The 27,235-nt window shown below is 47.3% G+C and overlaps 1 protein-coding gene across 1 annotated transcript, besides 4 other annotated features; it reads right to left on the reverse strand.

Moving 5' to 3' along the window:
* Window positions 1,500–2,382: an enhancer, noted in NCBI's record as "H3K27ac-H3K4me1 hESC enhancer chr7:148762397-148763279 (GRCh37/hg19 assembly coordinates)". NCBI's record gives its function as "activates a minimal SCP1, AML or CMV promoter by ChIP-STARR-seq in primed H9 embryonic stem cells {active_cell/tissue: H9 hESC(primed)}" and the evidence as "EXISTENCE:reporter gene assay evidence [ECO:0000049][PMID:30033119]".
* Window positions 1,872–2,101: a silencer, noted in NCBI's record as "silent region_18744". NCBI's record gives its function as "represses an Ori minimal core promoter by ATAC-STARR-seq in GM12878 lymphoblastoid cells {active_cell/tissue: GM12878}" and the evidence as "EXISTENCE:reporter gene assay evidence [ECO:0000049][PMID:35858748]".
* ZNF786 (zinc finger protein 786) lies at window positions 5,836–26,913 on the reverse strand. Its single transcript, NM_152411.4, has 4 exons — window positions 26,818–26,913; window positions 16,786–16,912; window positions 10,581–10,733; window positions 5,836–8,668 (listed from the first exon to the last, which is right to left on the reverse strand). Exons 1-4 carry the CDS (start codon window positions 26,833–26,835, stop codon window positions 6,618–6,620), a joined length of 2,349 nt encoding a protein of 782 aa, NP_689624.2. The 5' UTR covers window positions 26,836–26,913; the 3' UTR covers window positions 5,836–6,617.
* Window positions 7,524–8,516: an enhancer, noted in NCBI's record as "H3K27ac-H3K4me1 hESC enhancer chr7:148768421-148769413 (GRCh37/hg19 assembly coordinates)". NCBI's record gives its function as "activates a minimal SCP1, AML or CMV promoter by ChIP-STARR-seq in naive H9 embryonic stem cells {active_cell/tissue: H9 hESC(naive)}" and the evidence as "EXISTENCE:reporter gene assay evidence [ECO:0000049][PMID:30033119]".
* Window positions 26,855–27,154: a silencer, noted in NCBI's record as "silent region_18745". NCBI's record gives its function as "represses an Ori minimal core promoter by ATAC-STARR-seq in GM12878 lymphoblastoid cells {active_cell/tissue: GM12878}" and the evidence as "EXISTENCE:reporter gene assay evidence [ECO:0000049][PMID:35858748]".

Below are 27,235 nucleotides of genomic sequence, written 5' to 3' on the forward strand. Positions count from 1 at the left end.
AATCATTGGAACTTCTGCAGACACTTATTTGTAACTGGAGAAACACAATCTGAAATAATTTGATTCAATTAAATGAACATTTGAGCAATTACCATAGGACATAGTTCTGTAAGCACCTAGCCTACTATACAGTCATATAATGTTATAGTACTGCGTGATAAAGTACACATTGAACTGTCTTCAACATTTTGAGATGTTAAAAACACCAAAAACACCTGTGTTTATAAGCAAAAAATAGTTACATCTGCAGACTTCCATAATTGGTACCATTTCTTTTTTTTGTTTGTTTGTTTTTCTTTTTTTTGAGACGGAGTCTGCCTCTGCCCCCAAGGCTGGAGTGCAGTGGCGCTATCTCGGCTCACTGCAAGCTCCGCCCCCCAGGTTCACGCCATTCTCTTGCCTCAGCCTCCCGAGTAGCTGGGACTACAGGCGCCCACCACCACGCCCGGCTAATTTTTTTTTTTTTGTATTTTTTAGTGGAGACGGAGTTTCACCGTGTTAGCCAGGATGGTCTCGATCTCCTGACCTCGTGATCCTCCTGCCTCGGCCTCCCAAAGTGCTGGGATTACAGGCGTGAGCCACCGCGCCCGGCCATAATTGGTACCATTTCACCAAAATAAAATTTAAAGTGACAGTTTGCTCCAATACAGCTATGAGAAATTATCTTCTTCAAAACATTTTGCACCAGAAAAGCAAAACATCACTTTCCCTAGAAGGTGACAAAGCAAATAAGGAAAATGCCCTTTAGTTTCCTAGTAATTAGAAAACAGAATAGAAGCTTGACTAGGCAGTCACTACCCCAGAGACGCAACACCATTAACATTAATAATACCACGCCTGTAATCCCAGCACTTTGGGAGGCCAAGGCAGGCGGGCACGTGGTCAGGAGTTCGAGACCAGCCTGGCCAATATGGTGAAACTCAGTCTCTACTAAAAATACAAAGCTTAGCCGGACATGGTGGTGCGTGCCTGTAGTCCCAGCAACTCAGGAGGCTGAGGCAGGAGAATCACTTGAACCTGAGAGGCGGAGGTTGCAGTGAGCCGAGATCGCGCCACTGCACTCCAGCCTGGGCAACTGAGTGATACTCCGTCTCACTCACACACACACACACTCGCCGGGGGGGGGGGGGGGTGGCGCACGCCTGTAATCCCAGCTACACACACACACACACACACACACACACACACACTAGCCGGGCGTGGTGGCGCACGCCTGTAATCCCAGCTGCTTGGGAAGCTGAGGCACGAGAATCGCTTGAACCCGGGAGGCGGAGGTTGCAGTCGGCTGACATGGCACCACTGCACTCCAGCCTGGGTGACAGAGCGAGACTCCGTCTTAAATAAATAAATAAAAAGAAAATGGAAGTGCCTAATATTGCAATTCAGCATTGTACTTTCACATGTGCCCTTTATGGGAATCCTTTTCTTTTCTCACCCGTAATTTCCTGTTCTTTCTCCCAATCTGCACCTCATCCAGCAGAGTCTCCGCCCACAAGCTGCGCTTAGGGAAGCAGGCACTCTCCGGAAACTCTGGACTGAGTAAAATCAATGGGTGCGTGCGGGACTCCTCCACTGATTCTTTGATTCCACAGCATTTGTACAGCACCCACGGGGGCCCCACACTAGGTGGGAAACGAAGATGAAAAGTCGCAGTCTCTGTTCCAAAGACCGCAGAGCCCAGGGCTGCGTTTCCTTCCCGGCCTTTTGTCCAGGCCCCAGGGAGCGAGCTGGGGGAAGGCTCCCCGGCCAGGGCTTCCCCACAGATTTTACTAGGTCAGGGCAGCCCCGGGGAGGCGCCTCCTCCCAGCCGGAACCGCCCGACTCCGCTTCGTCCTCTTGGGCCCACGGACCACTCCCCACTGCCCCAGCCCCAACACCTGCAGATCCTGCGAGCCCGAGCCCTCCCGCGACCGCCCAGAGAGGGTCTGACACCCGAAGGGGAACCCCAGGGACTAGTCCTGCCGTAGTCTAAGCTCTGGTCTCGCGGAGGAAAAGCAGGGGCGGCCCCCGTACGCGGGGCCTGCGCCCTTCAGCCCCAGCCCCACCCTGCGCGACCCCGGGATCTCGCTCGGCGGCGGCCGTTGCCCAGGGCACAGGCAGGGCATGCTGAGAACGCTCTGCCTTTCCTGTGCCTGGACACGGCTCGGGCTGGGATCCCACAGCGCCGCCTTCTGGCGGGAGGCACCCCCGCGGCGCTGTGCATTCTGGGCTCCCTGGATCTCTGAACTTGAATTGGAGCTGCTCCAAGCTCTCCAGAGATAACCTCCTTTAGGGTTACACGAGATTGCCTCTGAAATTGATAGGTATGTAAATTAGTAGGGATTTGGAGAATGTGTAACGTCGCCATTTTCGGTTTCAATTTTTGCTACTACAAGCCGCCTGTCTTCACAATGAAACTGTGTTATCGGCCGGGCGCGGTGGCTCATGCCTATAATCCCAGCACTTTAGGAGGCTGAGGCGGGCGGATCACCTGAGGTCAGGAGTTTGAGACCAGCCTGGCCAACATGGTGAAACCCCGTCTCTACTAAAAATACAAAAATTAGCCGGGCGTGGTGGCACGCGCCTGTAGTCCCAGCTACTCGGGTGGCTGAGGCGGGAGAATCACTTGAACCCAGGAGGTGAAGATTGCAGTGAGCCGAGATCGCACCACTGCACTCCAGCCTGAGCAACAGAGCAAGATTCCGTCTCAAAAAAAAAAAAAAAGAAAAAAGAAACTGTTATTAAATAAAATAATAGGAGTCCATTGGTTCGGACTCAGCTCCAGCACTAGGCTCCAAGAGACCACACCAAGATGGAGTTACTCATGCAAAAGTGCCACATCACCAAACAGGCCAGCATAAGGAAGACCCCTCTGCTTTTTTTTTTTTTTTTTTTTTTTGAGACAGAGTCTCACTCTGTCGGCCAGGCTGGAGTGAAGTGGCACAATCTTGGCTCACTGCAACCTCTGCTTCCCGGGCTCAAGCACTTCTCCTGCCTCAGCCTCCCAAGTAACTGGGATTACAGGGGTGTGTCACCACGCCCGGCTAATTCTTGTATTTTTAGTAGAGACGGGGGTTTCACCATGTTGGCCAGGCTGGTCTTGAACTCCTGACCTCAGGTAATCCACCTGCCTCGGCCTCCCAAAGTGCTGGGATTACAAGTGTGAGCCACCGTGCCCGGCCAGAAGACACCCCCTCTGCTTTAACCTTTAGAAGAAAAAAGTAACTTTGAAACAACCAACCCACTTTTAGTTTTCTGTTTCTGCTTTTCCCAAGCTTTTTCTGTCCATAAAACCAACCGCGGGCCGGGTGCAGTGGCTCACACCTATAATCCCAGCACTTTGGGAGGCCAAGGTGGGCAGATCACGAGATCAGGAGTTCGAGACCAGCCTGGCCATCCTGGTGAAACCCCCGTCTCTACTAAAAATACAAAAAATTAGCCAGGCATGGTGGCGCATACCTGTAATCCCAGCTACTTGGGAGGCTGAGGCAGAATTGCTTGAACCCAGGAGGTGGAGGTTGCAGTGAGCCAAGATAGCGCCACTGCTCTCCAGCCTGGGCGACAGAGGGAGACTCCTTCTTAAAAAAAAAAAAAAAAACCCGCCTTGGCTGGCTCATCCAAACACTTATTCTGTTTTTCTGTTTTTGTTTTTGAGACCGAGTTTCGCTCGTTGCCCAGGCTGGAGTGCAATGGCACGATCTCGGCTCACTGCAACCTCCGCCTCCCGGGTTCAAGCGATTCTCCCGCCTCAGCCTCCCGAGTAGCTGGAATTACAGGTTCGCATTGCCACACCCACCTAATTTTTTGTATTTTTAGTACAGACAGGGTTTCACCATGGCCAGGCTGGTCTTGAACTTCTGACCTCAGGTGATCTGCCCGCCTCGGCCTCTCAGAGTGCTGGGATTACAGGCGTGAGCCACCACGCCGGGCCACTTATTCTGTTTCATGGGATGAAGTGTTGCTCAATTCTAGAATACCAAATAAGCCAATTAAGATTTTTAAACTAAATGTGTTGTAATTTTGTCTTTTGACAGTGCCATTGTACAGGTGATTCACTACTCCACCACTCCACTCACCTACTCACAATGACGGTTTTCAACATTTCAGGAACGGTTTCTACCTTAGGCTCAGAGCAATTCCTACTTCTCCCTCATGAGGAATTGGAGGAGGTGGTGATAAAATTCTTCATCTGGTTGTGAGGTGGTATTTCACACAACTCCTTGATAAATATTGGAGGTGATACTGGATACAGGAAAACTTACAATAATCAGATTGTTACAGGTAGTTAGGCATCAACAGGGCAGCAGAGGGCTCTCTCCCGACCCACTAGAAATGTCAGGTGATGGTTCAGCAATTAACAAATTGCCTCTCTAAGAATGAGAATTCGGCAGCCAGGGAGAGACAATCTCTTGATGGTCCACACCTGTTAACATTAAAAGTGTTAATTGAATACAGCCCCCCAAGCAGCAGCTTCTTGGGCACCCGTGTTAAGAGACAAATGGCGAAGTATAGGCCGGGCACGGTGGCTCACACCTATAATCCCAGCACTTTGGGAGGCTGAGGTGGGTAGATCACCTGAGGTCAGGAGTTCAAGACCAGCCTGGCCCACATTTTATATTTTTTGTATTTTTAGTCTCTACTAAAAATACAAAAATAGGCATGGTGGCACGTGATGGCGTGCGCCTTTAGTCCCAGCTACTCAGGAGGTTGAGAAAGAAGGATCACTTGAGCTTGGGAGGTGGAGGATACAGCGAGCTAAGATCATGGCACTGTACTCCAGGCTGGCTGACAGAGACTCCAAAAAAAAAAAAAAAAAGAAAAGAAAGGCCGGCACCGTGGCTCATGCCTGTAATCCCAGCACTTTGGGAGGCTGAGGCGGGCGGATCACGAGGTCAAGAGATCGAGACCATCCTGGCTAACACGGTGAAACTCTGTCTCTACTAAAAATACAAAAAATTAGCTGGGCGTGGTGGCGGGCGCCTGTGGTCCCAGCTACTTGGGAGCCTGAGGCAGGAGAATGGCATGAACCCGGAAGGTGGAGCTTGCGGTGAGCCGAGATCATGCCACTGCACCCCAGCCTGGGCGACAGAGCAAGACTCCATCTCAAAGAAAAAAAAAAAGGAATTTATAATTATATATTATTCTGTATCTTTATATATTAATTATATATTCTATAATTTTTTTGAGATGGAGTCTTGCTCTGTCTCCCAAGTTGGAATGCAGTGGTGCAATCCCAGCTCAATGCAACCTCCACCTCTGGGGTTCAAGCGATTCTCCTGCCTCAGCCTCCGGCGTAGCCAAGACTACAGGTGCATGCCACCATGCCCGGCTAATTTTTGTACTTTTTGGTAGAGATGGTGTTTCACCATGTTGGCCAGTCTGGTCTTGAACTCCTGACCTCAAGTGATCCTCCTGCCTTGACCTCCCAAAGTAATGGGATTATAGGTATGAGCCACCACGCCAGGCTATATTCTATAAATTCTAAAGAGAATGAAAAGGACTTGCCAAGCTTCCTTTGGGAGATACTAAATTTGTTTTTTTTTTTTTTTTGAGACGGAGTCTCGCTCTGTCACCCAGGCTGGAGTGCAGTGGCTTGATCTTGGCTCACTGCAAGCTCCGCCTCCTGGGCTCACACCATTCTCCTGCCTCAGCCTCCTGGGACTACAGGTGCCTGCCACCACACCCGGCTAATTTTTTTTTTTTTTTTGTATTTTTAGTAGAGACAGGGTTTCACTGTGTTTGCCAGGATGGTCTCGATCTCCTGACCTTGTGATCCACCCGCCTCAGCCTCCCAAAGTGCTGGGATTACAGGCGTGAGCCACCACCCCTGGCCCAAATTTTTTTTTTTTTTTTTTTGAGACAGTGTCATACTATGTCATCCATACTGGAGTGCAGTGGCACCATCATTGCTCACTGCAGCCTTGACCTCCCTGGGCTCAGGCGATCCTCCCACCTCAGCTTCAGGAGTAGCTGGGACTACTGGTGTGTACCACCATGCCTGGCTAATTTTTGTATTTTTAGTAGAGACAGGGTTTTGCCATGTTGCCCAAGCTGGTCTCAAACTCCTTGGCTCGTGATCCTCCTGCCACGGCCTCCCAAGTGCTGGGATTACAGGCATGAACCACTGTGCCTGGCCTAAATTTACTTTTATAACAATTACTTTTTAAAATGTCAGAACTTCCTTATAATTACACACATATATTTTTATACAAATGCACAAAGGTAATCACATCTTATCTGGATTTCTGTGTGCACCTTTTCTTAAAAATGTTAACAATCACATATAACCTCGTAGAAATTGTTTTCGTTTGCAGATGCCTCCTTTTTCATAAAATTATGTCCTTGTTTTATAATGCTGTCTTTTCCAATATAGCTGGGATCACGCCACTGCACTCCAGCCTGGGTGACAGAGCAAAACTCCATCTTGGAAAAAAAAAAAAAAAAGAAAGAAATATAATTGGTGATGCTTCTGAAGAGAAAATCCTTTGTGGTTCTTCATATTCCTAACTTGCATGACACTCTTGCTCAAAGAAGGATACCTGCTCCTAAAACCCGTCTACCAGCGGGTCTGGCTACTGTTGCTGTGGATTCCTGGGCAATACCAATCCTGCTCAACGCTTTGGATGTCCCACTCTGCCTCAACTCCAATCGGCCTCTATCATTGCAAACAGTTGGCTGAGCCTTTTCTTAATGTCCAGTTCATTTGGAGCAGGACAGGATTTTGTGTGTACTCTGATGTGCTCCGCAAGCTTAGACTTGTAAATGAAGCCCTTCCCACAATCGCCACAGGCAAAGGGCCTCTCGGGCCTGTGGATGCGCTGGTGCCTCAGCATGTGTCCCCTTTCCCGGAAGTTCTTGTCACACTCAGGGCAGTGAAAAGGCCTCTCCCCTGTGTGCAGGCCCTGATGGCTGAGCAGCTGCGCCTTCAGGCGGAAACTCTTGTCACACTTGGGACACTGAAAAGGCTTCTCTCCCGTGTGCGTTCTGATGTGCTCGATGAGCTTTGAGTGTTTCACAAAGCCCTTGCCGCACTCACAGGAGAAAGGCATCTCCCCGCTGTGCAGCAGCTGGTGGGCCTTCATGTCGGCCTTCACGCGATAGCGCTTGTCGCACTCCGGACACTGGAAGGGCCTCTCTCCCGTGTGCAGGCGCTGATGGCTGAGCAGCTGCCCCTTCAGGCGGAAGCTCCTGTTGCACTCTGGGCACTGGAAGGGTCTCTCCCCGCTGTGCACGCGCAAGTGCTCCGTGAGCTTGGATTGTCTGGTGAAGCCCTTGCCACACTCCCCGCACGAGAACGGCCTCTCCTTGCTGTGCGTGTGCTGGTGGGCCTTCAGGATGCCCTTCAGGCGGAAGCGCTTGTCGCACTTCAGGCACTGGAAGGGCCTCTCCCCGCTGTGCACTCTCAGGTGCTCACGGAGCTTGCACTGGTGGGTGAAGCCTCTGCCACACTCGCTACAGGAGAACGGCCTCTCCCCACCGTGCCGGAGCCGGTGGGCTCTCAGCATGCTCTCCAGGCGGAAGCTCAGCCCACACTCTGGGCACTGAAAGGGCTTCTCGTCCGTGTGCAGCCGCTGGTGCCGCAGCAGCTGTCCCCTCTGACGGAAGTTCCTGCCACACTTGGCACACCGGAAAGGCTTCTCTCCGCTGTGGACTCGAATGTGCTCCGTGAGTTTACACTGCTTGGCGAAGCCCTTGCCACACTTCCTGCAGGAGAACGGTCTCTCCCCACCGTGCGCGTGCTGGTGGACCTGCAGCAGGCGGCGCAGGCGGAAGCGCTTGGTGCAATGCGCACACTGGAAGGGCTTTTCTCCAGTATGCGCCCTGCAGGGGCTGGCGAGCCTGGCGCTCATAGGGGAGCGCTCGCCACACTCCGAGCAGGAGCAGGGCCCCTCTGCGCCATGCTGCAGCGCCTCCGTGTCCCCTTCCTGGTGGCTGTTCCCCTCCTGGGGCAGGCGCGAGCCTGGTTTCTGTCCCGAGTGCACACTGCTGGAGGCCCCGCGGCCTTCTCTCCAAGAGGCCGGCCCCTCCCGGCTGTGCTGGCACCGGCGAGCCTGCGTGCTGTCCACTGGGAGGGAGCGCTTGCCGCATGGGGTGCACTGGGCAGGCTTCTCCCCCTGCTGCGGGAGGCGGTGGCTGGGATGGGTCAGCTCGTGTCGGAAGCACATTTCACCGTCAGCGTTCCGGAAGGGGCCCCTCCCCGTGTGGGCCGCCAGATGGCGCAGCAGACACAGCTTCCGGCGGAAGCTCTTACCGCACACGCCACACCGGAAGTGCCTCTGTACCCGAGGGCTGCTCCACGGCATCTGCGTCTCCGCCCTCTTGTTGAATTTCTCCCAGGCCCTACGTGTCCGGTCCTTTGAGTGGCCTCTCTGGTGCATTACTAAATGGTTGTTCTCCCAACAGCTTTCCCCGCAGACAGGCCAAGGGTGCTGGGTGCTCTCCCAGGCGGGGACGTCCCACAAACCAGGAAGATCCAGATTTCTGGGACCTGGGATTCCTTCTTTTAGGGTAGATTCACTGGGGCCGCAGGCTAGTGGTGGAGGAGCCCTGGCGTCGTGTCTCTGTGGGCTCCCGAGGGTGATGCCTTGGTCAGGCCTGAAGGAAACAAAGGATCCAAAGGAACACTGGCTTTCAGGATCTAATTGGAAATGGCTTTTAGTTTTTCCTGAATTCATAGCCTGCTGGCTTCCTGCAATTGAAAACAAAAATTCAGTCGGTATTCCTGTCTGCAGCACTACTAGCGATTCTCACAGTCAAGTGACCCACAAGAGTGCCTTGTGGTGGCCTGGGAACCCAGCTTCCACTGAGCTACCCAACCATGCAGTGTGATCTGTCTCATGGCCGTGAGTTTGGTGAGTCTGCTGAAACTAAACTGAACAGACATATCTTTGGATAATATTGAAAAAAGGAAAATATAGGTCGCAAATATAGAGTGTAAGCTCTGGAATCAGTCTGCCTAGTTTTGAATCCTATCTGTCCACTGTGTAACCTTTGTCAAGCTAATCTCTTTTGACTTCAGCTCCTTCTGTAAAAACATGGAAACAAAAGTACATAAGATTACTGTGAGAATTAAATGAGCTAATGTGCATGAGGTGCTTAGCATGGTGCCTGGCATAGTGCATGTACTCTGTTTAAGTGTTGGCTGTTCTCATGACTTCAGGAAAGCCAGTGTATCGCATTCTGATGTACAGACACACCTGGAGTCCCGAGCTGGAGCCCTGACCAATACCACAGTTATACGTGATCCTTGAGCCATCCTGTCTCTAAGACCTGGCAGCAAGGCTTGGGCCTATTCCTCCCTCCCTGCCCCCATTTCTGCCAATGTTTCAAGAAGGTTTCTTGGAATAATTAATAGATGGTAGAAAGTTAAGTAATTTGTGGGGGAAAAACCTTCACTTTCGAAAGAAGCACCTAAAAACAAAAACTATTTGACAAGATTTCTTGAAATGATGCTCCTGTTTGACTTTTTCATTCTGTACTTTAAGAATCCAAAAATCTCAGACTCTCTCCTCATGACAAGAAATGAAAGAGAGGAGCTCAGGTTGAAGTATTCAAGTAGACAACAGTCTCTAGTTAGGAAGGAAGCCACGTTAGTCATGAAGATCTGGATAACCATGGGCCAGGCATGGTGGCTCACACCTATAATCCCAACACTTTGGGAGGCTGAGGTGGGAGGACTGCTTGAGGCCAGGACTGCTGGAAGCCAGGAGTTCAAGACTGCAGTGAGCTATGATCATGCTACTGTGCTCCAGCCTGGGTGACAGAGCAAGATCCTGTGTCTTAAAAACCAAACAAACTGGATAACCAGTTTCTACTGAGTTCTTACTATATAAACTGTCTCTCAATATATATACACATATATATGTATACATATATACACATATATTTATGTATACATTTATATACATATGTATATACACGTGTGTGTGTATATGTGTGCGTGTGTGTGTGTGTGTGTGTGTGTATATATATATATATATATATATATATATATATGTATATATATATAGTTTTTTTTTTGAGACTGAGACTTGCTCCATCGCCCAGGCTGGAGTGCAGTTGCATAATCTCAGCTCATTCACTGCAAGCTCTGCCTCCCAGGTTCAAGCAATTCTTCTCCCTCAGCCTCCTGAGTAGCTGGGATTACAGGCACCTGCCACCATGCCCGGCTAATTTTTTTGTATTTTTAGTAGAGTAAGGGTTTCACCATGTTGGCCAGGCTGGTCTGGAACTTCTGACCTCAAGTGATCTGCCCGCCTCGGCCACCCAAAGTGCTGGGATTACAGGCCTGAGCCACCATGCCTGGCCTAACACTATATATATTAACCAATTCAATCCTGTTAACATGGGTACTTTCATTTTATAGATCAGGCATTGAAATACCAAAAGGTTCAATAACTTGCCCAAGGTCACCAAGAAAAAGCAAGATCCAGACACAGACTCTAGAACCCACATTCCTAACCATTATGCTTTACTGCCTTTATCTAGAAGATAAGAGTCTTCAAACCTCAGCTTGCCCAAACAGGATGACAAGATCAGAGAAGAGAAACAAATCTGAACATGATGTCTCAAGGTCGGGGCCCTGATTTCTTAATACTCACCCCAAAACAGCTGTTCCTCAAAACCTGGATCAAAATGCATATCAACAGAGGAGCAAATTATGTTTCCTGATTTCTGTGATTCTCTCCATTTCCTGAAGGGCTCTCCCCCGTGTTCAATCCAGGATATTAGTTCTGGTTTTGGAAGTCCATCATCTGCACAGAGAAGTCAGACAGGGTAGTTTGGCTTCCTGAATTTAAAGCACACTAAGTTTCTAAATTTCTCAACATTCACTCCTGGGACAAAGTATGAGAACAACATGTCAAAAAAAAAAAAACAGGTTTACACAAAGATGAAAAAACCGCCTACACATCCTAACAATGCCTCCTAGTCTGTCTGGGCATGTTAGATCAGGTATGTTGTTTTAATTTTGTCATGTTCCCCACACATTTAGCAATGCTGTATTTTGTCCAAAAACAAAATGGCTAATGCTATATATATATATATATTTTTAAAATTAATTATTTATTTTTTGAGATGGGTTCTCACTCCAGTTGCCAAGGCTGGAGTGCAGTGGTGCAATCATGGCTCACTGTAGCCTCGGCTTCCTGGGCTCAGGTAATTCTTCAACCTCAGCCTGGGACTACAGGCACGCACCACCAGGCCAAGCTAATTTTCGCATTTTTAGTGGAGACGGGTTTCACCGTGTTGCCCAGGCTGGTTTCAAATTCCTGTGCTCAAGCAGTCTGCCTGCCTTGGCCTCCCAAAGTGCTGGGATTACAGGCATAAACCACTGCGCCCAGCCTTCAATATTCTTAATAGTGATTTATTAACAGCCAGATCATAGGGTCCAATTTTAAAGCAAGTTGGTTATGGCAAAAATGCGGTCAAAAAGGAGTTTTTAAAATAATGCTTTAAGTTATTATTACTATTGTTTTAGATAGGGTCTCACTCTGTCTCTCAGGCTGGAATGCAGTGGCATGATCACAGCTTACTGCAGCCTCAACCTCCTGGGCTCCAGTGATCTGCCCACCTCAGCCTCCTGAGTAGCTGGGACTACAGGCAAGAGCTACCACACTGGCTAATTTTTTTTATTAGTTTCTGAAATGGGGTCTCACTATGTTGCCCAGGCTAACCTCAAACTCCTGGACTCAAGTAGTCTTACCCCACCCTGGAGTCTCAAAGTGCTGCGATTACAGGCATGAGCCACCGCACCTGGCCAGTGGTTTAACTTATTAGAAATATTTCTGGCACATGGAGAAGGAGAAAAATATACAAAAACCTGGATGCCATCTAACTTTGTCAAATCCTACTGTGCTGACACACTTCAGGTTTTTTTTTTTTTTTTTTTTTTTTTTTTGATAGAGTCTCACTGTGTCTCCCAGGCTGAAGTGCAGTGGTGCAATCATAGCTCATTGCAGCCTCAACCTCCTGGGCTCAAGTAATCCTCCCACCTCAGCCTCCTGACAGCTGGGACTACAGGCGGGAGCCACCATGCTCAGCTAATTTTTAAATTTTTTGTAGAGAGAGGGTCTCCCTAGTTTGTCCAGGCTGGTCTCAAACTTCTCAGCCCAAGATATCCTCCTACCTCAGCCTCCGAAAGTGCTGGGATTATAGGGATGAGCCACCATGCCCAGTCTACTTCAGGTTTTTTGAAGATATGAGACATTACACAGTTTAAGCCCCTGTATATCCCTCTCCAGACATAAGCACTACCCTGAATCTGGTGTACATTATTCCTATGCATGTTCTTATTTTAAAATATATATGTATAAATAAAATGTTGCTGGGTTTTTGTTTTGTTTTTTTTGACAAAGTTTCACTCTTGTTGCCCAGGCTGGAGTACAATGGCGCGATCTCAGCTCACCGCAGCCTCCGCCTCCCAGGTTTAAGCGATTCTCCTGCCTCAGTCTCCCGAGTAGCTGGGATTACAGGCATGCGCCACCATACCTGGCTAATTTTTGTATTTTTAGTAGAGACAGGGTTTCTCCATGTTGGTCAGGCTGGTCTCGATCTCCCGACCTCAGGTGATCCGGCTGCCTCGGCCTCCCAAAGTGCTGGGATTACAGGCATGAGCCACCGTGCCCGGCCTATATTGCTGGTTTTAAACTTTACACAGACCAGGCCGGGCGCAGTGGCTCACGCCTGTAATCCCAGCACTTTGGGAGGCCGAGGCGGGAGGATGACGAGGTCAGGAGTTCGAGACCAGCCTGGCCAATATGGTGAAAGCTCATCTAATACAAAAGTTAGCTGGGTGTGGTGGTGTGTGCCTATAGTCCCAGCTACTCGGGAGGCTAAGGCAGGAGACTTGCTTGAACCTGGGAGGTGGAGGTTGTGGTGAGCCGAGATCGCGCCACTGCACTCCAGCCTGGGCAAGAGAGAGAGACTCCATCTTGAAAAAAAAAAAAAAAAAAACTACATAGACCATACCACATTGTACTGCAACTTGCTCTTCTCTCCTCAAATTATATTTTGAAAATTTCTCCATTTTGGAACACTTGGCTTCATTTGTTTGATAGTCTTGATTATATGAATATATCACAGTCTGTCTTTTTCTTCTGCTCCCTGGCATGCCTCTATGAATACACACATAAGCATTGACAGTTCTTGAAGTGAATTGCTGTATCACAGGATAAGCATGTCTTCAACTTTACTGTATGTTACCAAATTGCTCTCCAAAGTGGCTATGCTGATTGACAATAGAGTAGGAATGTTCACTTTGCTTCACATCTTGACAACACACGATGCTATCAGATGTTTTACTATCTCTAACATAGTACCACATAATAAGTCTTGCTATCTGATAAGACAATCAGTCACGTTCCATCTTGTTCCATAAGACTGTCTTCATTATTCTTGTCTTGGTTCTCCCATGTTCTTTAGGATCAGCTTATCAAATTCCGCAGAAAGCTCTATTGGGATTCTGACTGGACTTGCTTTGAATCTATAGATTCATTTGGGGAGAGAATTGACAGAAGGCAGAAAGATCCATGTAACTGACTATTAGATTAAGAAGATGGGTGGCCAGGCGTGGTGACTCACGCCTGTAATCCCAGCACTTTGGGAGGCCAAGGCGGGTGGATCATGAGGTCAGCAGATCGAGACCATCCTGGCAAACACGGTGAAACCCCGTCTCTACTAAAAATACAAAACAATTAGCCAGGCGTGGTGGCGGGCGCCTGTAGTCCCAGCTACTCGGGAGGCTGAGGCAGGAGAATGGTGTGAACCCGGGAGGCGGAGCTTGCAGTGAGCTGAGATTGCGCCACAGCACTCCAGCCTGGGCGACAGAGGGAGACTCCTTCTCAAAAATAAATAAATAAATAAATAAAAGAAGATGGGTGTTCTCCTAGCCGGCCACAGTGGCTCACGACTGTAATCCCAGAACTTGGGGAGGCCAAGGCAGGTGGATCACTTGACCTCAAGAATTCGAGACCAGCCTGGGCAACATGATGACGATGATGGATAATCACAAGGATATGATGAAAGCATGAGAAACAGTTGTGGCCCAACAGCGAAACAAATTAAAATGTAGCATAATTTTGTCTTTTTTTTTTTTTTTGAGATGAAGTCTCACTGTTGCCCAGGTTGGAGTGCAATGGCGTGATCTCGGCTCACTGTAGCCTCCGCCTCCTGGGTTCAAGTGATTCTCCTCCCTCAGCCTCCCAAGTAGCTGGGATTACAGGCATGCACAACCACACCCAGCTAATTTTTGTATTTTTAGTAGAGATGGGGTTTCACCATGTCGGCCAGGCTGGTGTCAAACTTCTGACCTCAAGTGATCCACCCACCTCAGCCTCCAAAAGTGCTGGGATTACAGGCGTGAGCCACCACACCTGGCCAAAATGTAGCATAATTTTGAACAACTGATAAGAATGAAAAAAAGAGAATCCATTTGATCTTGATGCTTGGAACATTCTTATTAGGCTGGCACAGGGTTAATGGCATAGAATTATATTTTTGCCTCTATAGATTCATTTACTGTAACTGATTCTTCAGTAACAATGAAAATAATGTAATGTTTTCAGTTATATGTTTTAGAAACAATCCATACATACAGCCTGCAAAAGTTAACTATGGTAGGCCAGGCACGGTGGCTCATGCCTGTAATCCCAGCACTTTGGGAGACCAAGGTGGGTGAATCACCTGAGGTCGGGAGTTTGAGACCAGCCTGACCAACATGGAGAAACCCCGTCTCTACTAAAAATATAAAATTAGCAGGGCGTGGTGGCGCATGCCTGTAATCTCAGCTACTCAGGAGGCTGAGGCAGGAGAATTGCTTGAACCCAGGAGGCGGAGGCTGCGGTGAGCCGACATGGTGCCATTGCACTCCAGCCTGGGCAACAAGAGTGAAACTCCGTCTCAAAAAAAAAAAAGTTAACTATGGTAACAGAACAGAATATAAATATTAGAAACTTTGCAATATAAAGGAAGTGGTATGGCTGTTGTCAACTGGCAGAAGAGATGAAGAGAAATACTAGAGAACTAATTATCTTTATATACTGAATGAGTCAGATGAAAATGATGGAATACAATCTAGAATCTTAAACATATTATTTTAAATTATAAAGCTGACCAACAGAGGCACAAAAACTATCAAAAACTGGGGAGAAGATGATAGAAGAGGGATTGTATAAGTGAACTAATGCCTAATTTTTCATAGTAATTAATTCTGTCTAAACTCGATAAATCAAGTTATTGGAAGCGTATTTAGATTGGAGGAAGCCACTTTAAAAACTAAAACAAAAATGGTTAAAAGTGGTTGCCCTCACGTGGTTAACTGAATGTGGAGATAAGAATGAAACGGGCTGGGCGTGGTGGCTCACGCCTGTAATCCCAGCACTTCGGGAGGCTGAGGAGGGCGGATCACGAGGTCAGGAAATCGAGACCATCCTGGCTAACACGGTGAAACCCTGTCTCTACTAAAAATACAAAAAAATTAGCCGGGTGCAGTGGTGGGCGCCTGTAGTCCCAGCTACTCGGGAGGCTGAGGCAGGAGAATGACGTGAACCCGTAAGGCGGAGCTTGCAGTGAGCTGAGATCCCGCCGCTGCACTCCAGCCTGGGCGACGGAGCCAGACTCCGTCTCAAAAAAAAAAAGAATGAAACAGGAGACTTCGATCTTTCACTTGATGCTTCTCTGAACAGACTGATTTTTTAAAAATGATATTTGATAAATGAAATATAAAAACCAAATAAGCAAAAAGGACATCCAATACCATACCCAGGCAGAGACAGCTACTCTTTTTTTTTTTTTTTTTTTCCTTTTTGGAACGGAGTCTCACTCTGTTGCCAGGCTGGAGTGCAGTGGCGTGATCTCAGCTCACTGCAACCCCCGCCTCCCAGGTTCAAGTGATTCTCCTGCCTCAGTCTCCTGAGTAGCTGGGACTACAGGCGCCCGCTACCACGCCCAGCTAATTTTTGTATTTTTAGTAGAGACGGGGTTTCACCATGTTGGCCAGGATGTTCTTGATCTCTTGACCTCGTGATCCACCTGCCTCGGCCTCCCAAAGTCCTGGGATTACAGGCGTGAGCCACCGCGCCCAGCAGACAGCTACTCTTAAAACACTTCAGGCCAGGCGTAGTGGCTCACGCCTGTAATCCAGCACTTTGGGAGGCCGAGGTGGGTGGATCACGAGGTCAGGAGATTAAGACCATCCTGTCCAACATGGTGAAACCCTGTCTCTACTAAAAATACAAAAATTAGCCGGGCATGGCAGCACGCACCTGTAGTCCCAGTTACTCGGTAGGCTGAGGCAGGAGAACTGCTTGAACCCGGAAGGCAGAGGTTACAGTCAGCCAAGACTCCAGCCTGGGCGACAGAGTGAGACTATGTCTCAAAAAAACAAACACTTCATTGTACACCCTTCCAAAATAGCTTTTCTGAAGTATTTAGACCCCACTGTAAAAGCTGTGAGGTGGGGACATCCTAGGTTAAAGATATACAGAGCACTTCATGAATGTGCGCTAGGTGTGCTCCTATGTGGACAATCATGGCATCCTGATAGTCATGACTAAAGGCCCCTCATAAATAATATTTAGTCACCCGGACCACCTTACATTGTTCAAATATTCTCATGTAACAATGTCTACCCTTGAGTAAAGATTAACAATGTTGACAAAAGTATTAACAATAGATTGCAGGGTAAAAATACCCTTCTGAGTTAATTTCTGAGAAATCTTGCTACCTGAGAAACAGGAGCATCAAGTGACTGTGACCCCTTACAGGATCCAGTTCCATGACCTACCCACAAAGGTGAACAGGTCTTACCTAGAGAGACGAGAGTCTCATAATTGCTTCTCATCACATGCTTGTAAAGTTCCTTCTGCCATGCCTCTAGATCCTGCCATTCTTGCTCGGAGAAATAAATAGCAACATCCTCAAAAGTCAGAGGTAGCTGAAATTGTAGACATAAGACATATGCATTCATGGTTGCTTCAAAATGACTCCAGCTCCTTCTCCTTGTTAATTTAAAAGACTTCTGCAGTGGACAAATGTTTTTGGTTGTTCAGCAGCTTCTTCCTGGAGAACTACTCCTTCCTCTACTCCAATTACATCGTTCTGCTGTTAACCACTACATCCCCCGCTCCACGTTTCATTATGCTTGTTCAAAGTATATATACACATGTAGAGTATGGAATTTTTTTCTTTACAAAATGGGAACAAGTCACTTTGTAACTTCATTCACTTAATATGTCACAGACTTCTTTCCAGGTCAATAATATATATTGAGGCAAATTCATTTTTTTGGTAAAGTCGCACTATATTCCATGAGTAGAAGATATACCCCACTGATGGGACATATAGTTTGTTTCCCTTATAAATTACAGTATTCAGCCAGGCGCAGTGGGTCATGCCTGTAATCCCAGCACTTTGGGAGGCTGAGGCGGGCAGATCACGAGGTCAGGAGTTCGAGATCAGCCTGACCAACGTGGTGAAACCCCACCTCTACTAAAAATACAAAAATTAGCCGGGTGTGGTGGCGTGCACCTGTAATTCCAGCTACTGGAAAGGCTGAGGCAGGAGAATTGCTTGAACCTAGGAGGCAGAGGTTGCAGTGAGCGGAGATCGCGCCACCGCACTACAGCCTGGGCGACAGAGCAAGACTCGGTCTCAAAAAAAAAAAAAAAAAAAAAAAAAAAAGTGTTCTCATGCGCTTTCTAGGTATTAGTGCTTTTACTTCTTCAGGATAAAGTATAAAAGGGGAAATACTAAATCAAAGAGAAAACACATCTTCAGTTTTAATAGATAACATCAGATTGCCTTCCAAAAAGAATGCAGCACATTTACCCTTGCTATTAACATGAGACTTCTTGTTTCTTTACACCTTTGCCAGCACAAGATGTTCTCAAACCTTATTTTTTGCCAATGTGGGGCGGCAAGTTGTATTTCAGTATTTTAATTTACATTATAAGGCTGGAAGTCCTAGCCACAGCAATCAAGCAAGAGAAAGAAATAAAGGGTATCCAAATTGGAAAACTATCTCTGTTTGCCAATGATATGATCCTCCACCTAGAAAATCCTAGAGACTCCTCCAAAAGACTCCTCCAAAAGACTCCTAGATTTGACAAATGAATTCAACAAAGTCTCAGGTAACAAAATTAATGTATATAAATCAGTAGCACTGCTATACACCAACAGCGACCAAGCTGAGAAATCAAGAACTCAGTACCTTTTACAATGGCTGGAAAAAACAATAAAATGCCTAGGCATTCGCTTGACATGGTTTGGCTCTGTGTCCCCACCCAAATCTGTTGAATTGTAATCCCCAGGGTTGGGGGAGGGGCCTGGTGGGAGGCAACTGAATCATGGGGGCGGACTTCCTCCTTGCTGTTCTCATGATAGCGAGTTTTCACAAGATCTGGTTGTTTAAAAGTGTGTAGCACTTGCCCCTTCGCTGTCTCTCCTGCTCCAGCCATGAGAAGACCGTGTGATTGTAAGTCTTCTGAGGCCTCCCCAGAAGCAGAAGACTAAGAGTTACTAGCAACTGGTTTTGAATTTTACTGCTTTTCTAAAAACTGCATTAGAAAAAATGCAGTGTATGCAAATGTTCAGTATTGTTTAATATTTGTGTTTATTACAGTTGACTTAGATAAATGGATACTTCCTGAGGCTCACAACTAGGAGTATGTAAATTATATATTTGTTAATTTAAAACACTCTAATTACATAAGCATACATCCCACCTTTTATTGAACTGCCATTGTTATTGCCATATGTCCTCAATTTTTATGGGTATTAAAGTTTATCTTGTTCCAACTTAAATTTTTTTTTTTTTTGAGACGGCATCTCGCTCTGTTGCCAGGCTGGAGTGCAGTGGCGTGATCTTAGCTCACTGCATCCTCCACTTCCCAGATGCAAGCAATTCTCCTGCCTCAGCCTCCTGAGTAGCTGGGACTACATGTGTGCACCACCACACCTGGCTAATTTTTTTGCATTTTTTGTAGAGACGGGGTTTCACCATGTTGGTCAGGCTGGTCTCCAACTCCTGACCTCAAGTCATCCACCCACCTTGGCCTCCCAAAGTGCTGGGGCTACAGACATGAACCACCATGCTCAGCCTCTTCATCTTTTATTTTTATTTATTCATTTTGAGACGGAGTCTCACTCTGTTGCCCAGGCTGGAGTGCAGTGGCGTGATCTTGGCTCACTGCAACCTCCACCACCCTGGTTCAAGCGATTCCCCTGCCTCAGCCTCCTGAGTAGCTGGGATTACAGGCACACGCCACCACACTGGGCTAATTTTTTTGTATTTTTAGTAGAGATGGGGTTTCACCATGTTGGCCAGGCTGGTCTTGAACTCCTACCTCAGGCAATCTGCCTGGCTGGGCCTCCCAAAGTGCTGGGATTACAGGCGCGAGCCACCGCACCCAGCCAGCCTAGTCATCTTTAAATTTTTTTTTCTTTTTTTTTGAGACGGAGTTTTGCTGTTTTGCCCAGGTTGGAGTAAAGTGGCACGATCTCAGCTCACTGCAACCTCCACCCACCAGGGTTCAAGCAGCTCTCCTACCTCAGCCTCCCAAGTAGCTGGGATTATAGGCGCCGGCCACCACCCCTAGCTAATTTTTGTATCTTTAGTAGAGACAGGGTTTTGGCACATTAGCCAGGCTGGTCTCGAACTTCTGACCTCAGGTGATCCACCCGCCTCGGCCTCCCAGTGCTAGGATTACAGGCGTGATCCACCGCGCCCGGCCAAAGTTTATTTTTATTTATTTATTTGTTTATTTTAAATGTTAGTTTCAGGCAAACATGTGCAAGTTTGCTATACAGGTAAATTGCATGTTGTGGGGGTTGGTGTGCAGACTGTTTCATCACCCAGGTAATAAGCATAGTACCCGATAAGGAATTTTTCAGTCCTCATTCTCCTCCCAGCCTCCACCTTCAAGTAGGCCCCAATGTCTGTTATTCATTCCCTGCTTCGTATCCATATATACTCAGTGTTTAGCTCGCCCTTATAAGTGAGAACGGCACTTTGTTTTCTACTCCTGTGTTATCTCACTTAAGACAATGGCCTCCAGCTCCATCCATCTTTCTGCAAAGGATATGATTTTCTTTATGGCTGCATAGTATTCCATAGTGCATATGTACATTTTCTTTATCCAGTCTGCCATTGATGGGCATTTAGGTTGATTCCACATCTTTGCTATTGTGAATAGTGCTGCAATGAACATATGCAAACATGTGTCTTTATGCAGAACAATTTATATTCCTTTGGGTATATATTCAATAATGGGATTGTAGGGTCAAATGGTAATTCTGGCTGGGCGCGGTGGCTCACGCCTGTAATACCAGCACTTTGGGAGGCCGAGGCGGGCAGATCACCTGAGGTCAGGAGTTCTAGACCAGCCTGGCCAACATGGAGAAACCCCATCTCTACTAAAAATACAAAAAATTAGCTGGGCGTGGTGGCACGCGCTTGTAATCCCAGCTACTCAGGAGGCTAAAGCAGGAGAATTGCTTGAACCCAGGAGGCAGAGGTTCCAGTGAGCTGAGATGGCACCAGCCTGGACAACAGAGCAAAACTGCATCCCAAAAAAAAAAAAAAAAAAAAAAGTTAATTTTGCTTTGAGTTCTTTGAGAAATCACCAAACTGCTTTCCACAACGGCTGAACTAATTTACATTCCCACCAGCAGTGTATATGTGTTCTCTTTTCTCTGTAACCTTGTTTTTAACTTTTTAATAGCCATTCTGACTGATACGGTTTTGATTTGCATTTCTCAAATGATTAGTGATGCTGAGCATTTCTTCATAAGCTTGTTGGCCATGTATATGTATGTCTTCTTTTGAGAAGTGTCTGTTCATGTCCTTTGCCCATTTTTTAATGCAGTTGTTTTTTGCTTGTAAATTTAAGTTCCCCATAGCTTCTGGATATTAGACCTTTGTCAGTTGCATAGTTTGCAAATATCCCATTCTGTAGGGTGTCTGTTTACTCTGCTGATAGCTTCTTTTGCTGCATAGAAGCTCCTTAGTTTAATTAGGTCCCATGTGTCAATTTTTGTTTTTGTTGCAGTTGCTTTTGGAGTCTTCATCACGAAATCTTTGCCAGGGCCTATGTCCAGAATGCTACTTCCTAGGTTATCTTCCAGGGTTTTTATAATTTTAGGTTTTACATTTAAGTCTTTAATCCATGTTGAGTTGATTTTTGTATATGGTGTAAGGAAGGGGTGCAGTGTCGGTCTTTTGCATATGGCTAGCCAGTTATCCCAGCACCATTTATTAAATAGGGAGTCCTTTTCCCACTGCTTGTTTTTGTTGACTTTGTAGAAGATCAGATGATTGTAGGTATGTGGCGTTATTTCTGGGCTCTCTATTCTGTTCCATTGGTCTATATGTCTGTTTTCTTACCAGTACCATGCTGTTTTGGTTACTGTAGCCTTGTATAGTTTGAAGTCAGGTAGTGTGATGTCTCCAGCTTTGTTCATTTTGCCTAGGACTGCCTTGGCTATTTGGGCTCTTTTTTGGTTACATATGAATTTTAAAATAGTTTTTTCAGCCAGGTACTGGCTCATACCTGTAATCCCAGTAAGTTGGGAGCCCAGGAGTTTGAGAACAGTCTGGGCCACATAGCTAAACCCCATCTCTACCAAAACAGTAACAAAATGCACAAAAATTAGCAGGGCATGATGGCACATGCCTGTAGTCCTAGCTACCTGAGAGGCTGAGGTGGGAGAACTGCTTGAGTATGGGGTTTCACCATATTGGCCAGGCTGGTCTCGAACTCCTGGCCTCATGATCTGCCCGCCTTGGCCTCCTGAAGTGTTGGGATTACAGGCGTGAGCCACCACTCCTGGCAATATAGTTTTTTTCTAATTGTCATTGGTAGTTTGATAGGAATAGCAATGAATCTGGAAACTGCTTTGGGCAGTATGGCCATTTTAACAATATTGATTCTTCCTATCCATGAGCATTAAATGTTTTTCCCTTTGTGTTATCTCTGGTTTCTTTGAGTAGTGTTTTGTAATTCTTGTTGTAAAGATCTTTAACCTCCTTGGTTAGCTGTATTCCTCGGCATTTTTGACTAGATGTGAATGGGACTGTATTCTTGATTTGGCTTTTAGCTTGGATGTTGTTGGTGTATAGGAATGCTACTGATTTTTGTACACTGATTTTTGTATTCTCAGACTTTGCTGAAGTTGTTTTATCAGATCAAGGAGCGTTTGGGCACCCTATGGGGTTTTCTACATATAGAATCATACAGTCTGCAAACAGGGATAGTTTGACTTCCTCTATTTCTATTTGGATGACTTTTATTTCTTTCTCTTGCCACACTGCTCTGGCTAGGACTTCCCATCTTTTTGTTATATTCATTATGAAATTTAGAGTTGAGTTTTAAAAACTCTGACTCCTTTAAATTTGTCTTAGTCTGTTTAGTATTGCTGTAAAGGAACACCAAGGTGGGGTAATTTTTAAAGAAAAGAGGTTTATTTGGTTCACAGTTCTGCAGGCTGTATAAGAAGCACATCACCAGCATCTACTTCTGGCGAGGGCCTCAGATGGCTTTTGTTCATGATGGAAGGTGAAGGGGGCTGGGCACGGTGGCTTACACCTGTAATCCCAGCACTTTGGGAGGCCAAGGTGAGCAGATCACCTGAGGTCAGAAGTTCAATACCAGCTTTGCCAATATGGCTAAACCCTGTCCCTACTAAAAATACAAAAATTAGCTGGGTGTGGTGGCAGGGGCCTGTAATCCCGGCTACTTGGGAGGCTGAGGCAGGAGAATCGCTTGAACCCAGGAGGCAGAGATTGCAGTGAGCCAGTATCACACCATTGCACTCCAGCGTGGGTGACAGAGCGACACTCTGTCTCACACACACACACACACACACACATACACACAAAAGGTGAGCTGGCATGTGCACAGATCACATGGCAAGAAGAAGCAAGACAGAAGGGGGGATGTCAGGCTCTTTTTAACCAGCTCCCTCAGGAACTAATAGAGGACAGCACCAAGACATTCATGAGGGATCCACCCCCCATGACCTAAACACCTCCCATTACAGCCCACTTCCAACAGCGCAGATCCTTTTTTTTTTTTTTTGAGATAGAGTCTTGCTCCATCGCCCAGGCAGGCTGAAATGCAGTGGCACGATCTCAGCTCACTGCAGCCTCCACCTCCCAGGTTCAAGCAATTCTGTCTTGGCCTCCCAAGCAGCTGGGACTACAGGCGCCTGCCAACATGCTCGGCTAATTTTTGTATTTTTAGTAGAGGCAGGGTTTCACCTTGTTGGTCAGGCTGGTCTTGAACTCCTGACCTCAGGTGATCCACCTGCCTCAGCCTCCCAAAGTGCTGGGATTACAGGCGTGAGCCACTGTGCCCAGCCGCAAATCCAATTTTGACATGAGATTTAGGGACAAATATCCAAACTGCAGATATAGCAACACTTAAATCAGAAATTCATTATTTTAACTTTAAGGAAATATAGTCATTTCTGCTATAATCCTTGTTTTGAAATGTGAATTTGTTCCAACATGATTATTAGGAGACAATATATTACAAAATTTTGCATTTGCTTATGTGCAATTCTGTCTATAAGAAACACTAGATTAGTGGTTCTCAATCAGAACAATTTTGTCCCCTGGCAACATTTTTTATTGTTATAATGTGGGGAAGCGGGGTGGCCTATGGGCATCTAGTGCGTAGCAGCCAAGAATAGTGATAAACATCCTACGATGCGCAGGACAGCCTGCAAAACAGAAAATTATCCAGCACAGGATGTTAGTAGTGGCAAGGGTGAGAAACTTTGTACTATGTGAACAAACAGAACTGGGCTGCATAGACATACGCAAAATGCACACATGCAACACACTTCAAACATCAGATTACCCTGTGTTATGAGCCCTACCCATTCACCTCCGGGGTCACAACTTTCCATCTCATTTCAGATAACCTTCCTTTCACCACTTCACAATAGCTCACAAACTGCAACCCTTGCTATGCCCACTTCCACAAGCACATTTCAGGTAGTTCTTTTAGGTTTTTTTTTTTTTTGAAACGGGGGTCTCTGTTGCCCAGGCCAGAGTGCAGTGGTGCCAACACAGCTTACCATAGCTTTGATCTCCTGGGCTCAAGTGATTCTGTTGCCTTAGCCTCCCGAGTAGCTAGGACCACAGGGATATGCCACCACACCTGGCTAATTTTCTGTAGAGAGGGGTCTCACCATGTTGCCCAGGCTTTTTTTTTTTTTTTTGTCTTTCTTTCGAGACCGAGTCTTGCTCTGTCACCCAGGCTGGAATGCATTGACACGATCTCAGCTCACTGCAACCTCCGCCTCCGAGGTTCAAGTGATTCTCCTGCCTCAGCCTCTCGAGTATCTGGGATTACAGGTGCCCGCCACCACGTCCAGCTAATTTTTTTATTTTTAGTAGAGATGAGATTTCACCATGTTGGCCAGGCTGGTCTTGAATTCCTGACCTCAGGTGATCTGCCCACCTGGACCTCCCAAAGTGCTGGGATTACAGGTGTGAGCCACCACGCCTGGCCTGCCCAGGCTTATTTCAGGCAGTTTTTAAGGCAATTGAGATAATTTATTACTCATTAAAGTGCATAAAACTGCTTTTAGGTTCTTTCAACACATCACTGATTAAAGTTTGAGTATTGTATGTGTAACATTTCTCCCAATAAGCTCTGTGGTTTTTATTGCACAATTTTGCATAGCACTATGATTTTTAGAAATGCATATGCTGTATTATTGCAGAACTGAACGTATGTTTATACTTGTGTTAAAGATACTCATTCTCTCCTCTTCTCTGATTAAAATTCCTTACTTTTAAAACTTTTTTAATTTTTAGAAGTTTAAAAATCCAGAGAGTTACAGAGAAAACTATAAGCATCCTAGTATTCACCACTGACTTAACAAGTTTAACATTTTTCTTCAGAGTTCCTTTTAATGAAATAGAATGTGACCGGTGAAACTCAAGTTCTTGTGGTTCCTCTCTTCAATCATGTTCTGATATTGTCACATTCTCCTTCCTTTGTAAAGGCAAACATTATAAATAATATGGGAACTTTCCAGTTCATTTTAATACATATATGTATCTGTAAATATTCAGTATTACTTTGTGTCTTTTATACGTAAATACTTTATTATACTTGTATTCTTCCCTCAACATTTTGGGATCTGGCCCTGTTGAGTTTCTTTTTTTTTTTTTTTTGGAGACAGAGTCTTGCTCTGTCGCCCAGGCTGGAGTGCAGTGGCGCGATCTCGGCTCGCTGCAAGCTCCGCCTCCCGGGTTCTCCCGCCTCAGCCTCCCGAGCAGCTGGGACTACAGGCTCCCGCCCACACGCCCAGCTAATTTTTGTTTTTGTATTTTTAGTAGAGACGGGGTTTCACCGTGTTAGCTAGGATGGTCTCGATCTCCTGATCTCGTGATCCGCCCGCCTTGGCCTCCCAAAGTGCTGGGATTAGAGGCGTGAGCCACCACGCCCGGCCCTGTTGATCATATATGTAGCTAATTTATTTTAATTTTGTATAGTGTTCCACCGTCTGAATGTCACAAGTTTGTTTGTTTTTGAGATAGAGTCTCGCTCTGTCGCCCAGGCTGGAGTGCAGTGGCGCCATCTCAGTTCGCTGCAACCTCCACCTCCCGAGTTCAAGCAATTCTCCCTACCTCAGCCTCCCGAGGAGCTGGGATTACAGGCGTCCGCCACCACACTCAGCTAATTTTCGTATTTTTTAGTAGAGACAGTTTTTCGCCATGTTGGCCAGGCTGGTCTTGAACTCCTGACGTCAAGTGATCTGCCCACCTCGGCCTCTCAAAGTGCTGGGATTACAGGCGTAAACCACGGCGCCTGGCCTGAATGTCACAAGTTTTAAAATCCATTCTTTTACTCATTAATAATTTATTTTCAGGTCTGTGATTTGGCTGTTTATATCCTTTCCCCATATATATAGGTATGTATATATTTTTGGAGACGGAGTTTCGCTCTTGTTGCCCAGGCTGGAGTGCAATGGTGCAGTCTCGGCTCACTGCAACCTCCGTCTCCCGGGTTCAAACAATTCTCCTGCCTGAGCCTCCCGAGTAGCTGGGATTACAGGCGCCCGCCATCATGCCAGGCTAATTTTTTGTATTTTTAGTAGAGTTGGGGTTTCACCATGTTGGCCAGGCTGGTCTCGAACTCCCGACCTCACGTGATCCACCCGCCTCGGCCTCCCAAAGTGCTGGGATTACAGGCGTGAGCCACCGCGCCCGGCCTAATTCATTTAATAATCAGCAAAAATCCTCAACATTAAAGTTTACAAGATAAAAATACCCTCTAAACCTCGATTTTAAGAAACCACTAACTTAATTTTTTGTATCCTCTTCTACTCTTCCCAACGTATCATCTTACACTCAACCCAAATCACGCTAGACAATAAATTCTGACATTGAAGCCCCCGCCAAACACCATTTCAACCATTCGGAATCTTAAACTTTTTGGAACAGTTGTTCTGATTTCGGTGACTATGATGTAAAACTGGTTGACCTGTAACATCCACCTCTGGCCCCAAACCTTTCTATCCTTTCCACCGTCCGCTCCCCGTCCGCCCGGCATCCTCGCCCAGGCTCCGCCCCGCTCCTAGGTCGGCCTCGGTCCACGCTCGGCTTTGTCCAGGGGTTTGGCCACGGACAAGCCGCGGGAGCGGAGGCCACCTGCTCACCGCAGGGCCCGGAATCCACATCCCCAGCAGAAGCAGCCTGCAGACTCCGTCCTACCCGTGCACCGCGCGCACTCACGGGGACCCCAGGACACGGGCGAGCCCGGAACCCGAGGACCCACCACGACCCCGAAACCGGGCGTCCAAACAGGCTAGCCCGCTTACCCGAGGCGGCTCCGCCATGGTCCCCGCGGTCCCGCCCGGCCCTGGCAAACCCGACCGTCTCCGGCGGCTCCGCAGGAACCTGCCCTGCTGCGCACTGACTCCCCTCCGCTCCGCCCCAACCCGACTCCCACGCACAGCCCGGGTGGCCCCCAAACGCAGCGCCGGCCGGGCGCGGTGCATGCTGGGACCCGGCGCCCGGCCGCGGCTGCCGCTCAGTCCTACAGCGCCTCCTGCGGGAGGAAGAAGCGGCGCTGCCTGAGCGTCGGTCCTCAGAGGAGGGACCCAGGGGCCCGGGCGCCCTCAGAGCAGGCCGCAGCACGCCGGTCTTTGAGGGACCCTCGGATTCCCGGGATCTGGGGAGGGAAGCGGTCAGAGACAAGCTGAGGAGCTGGCCGGAGGGGAAACGGAGGGGCAGGAC

Source organism: Homo sapiens, chromosome 7 (assembly GCF_000001405.40).
Source record: "Homo sapiens chromosome 7, GRCh38.p14 Primary Assembly".
Lineage (NCBI taxonomy): Eukaryota > Metazoa > Chordata > Mammalia > Primates > Hominidae > Homo > Homo sapiens.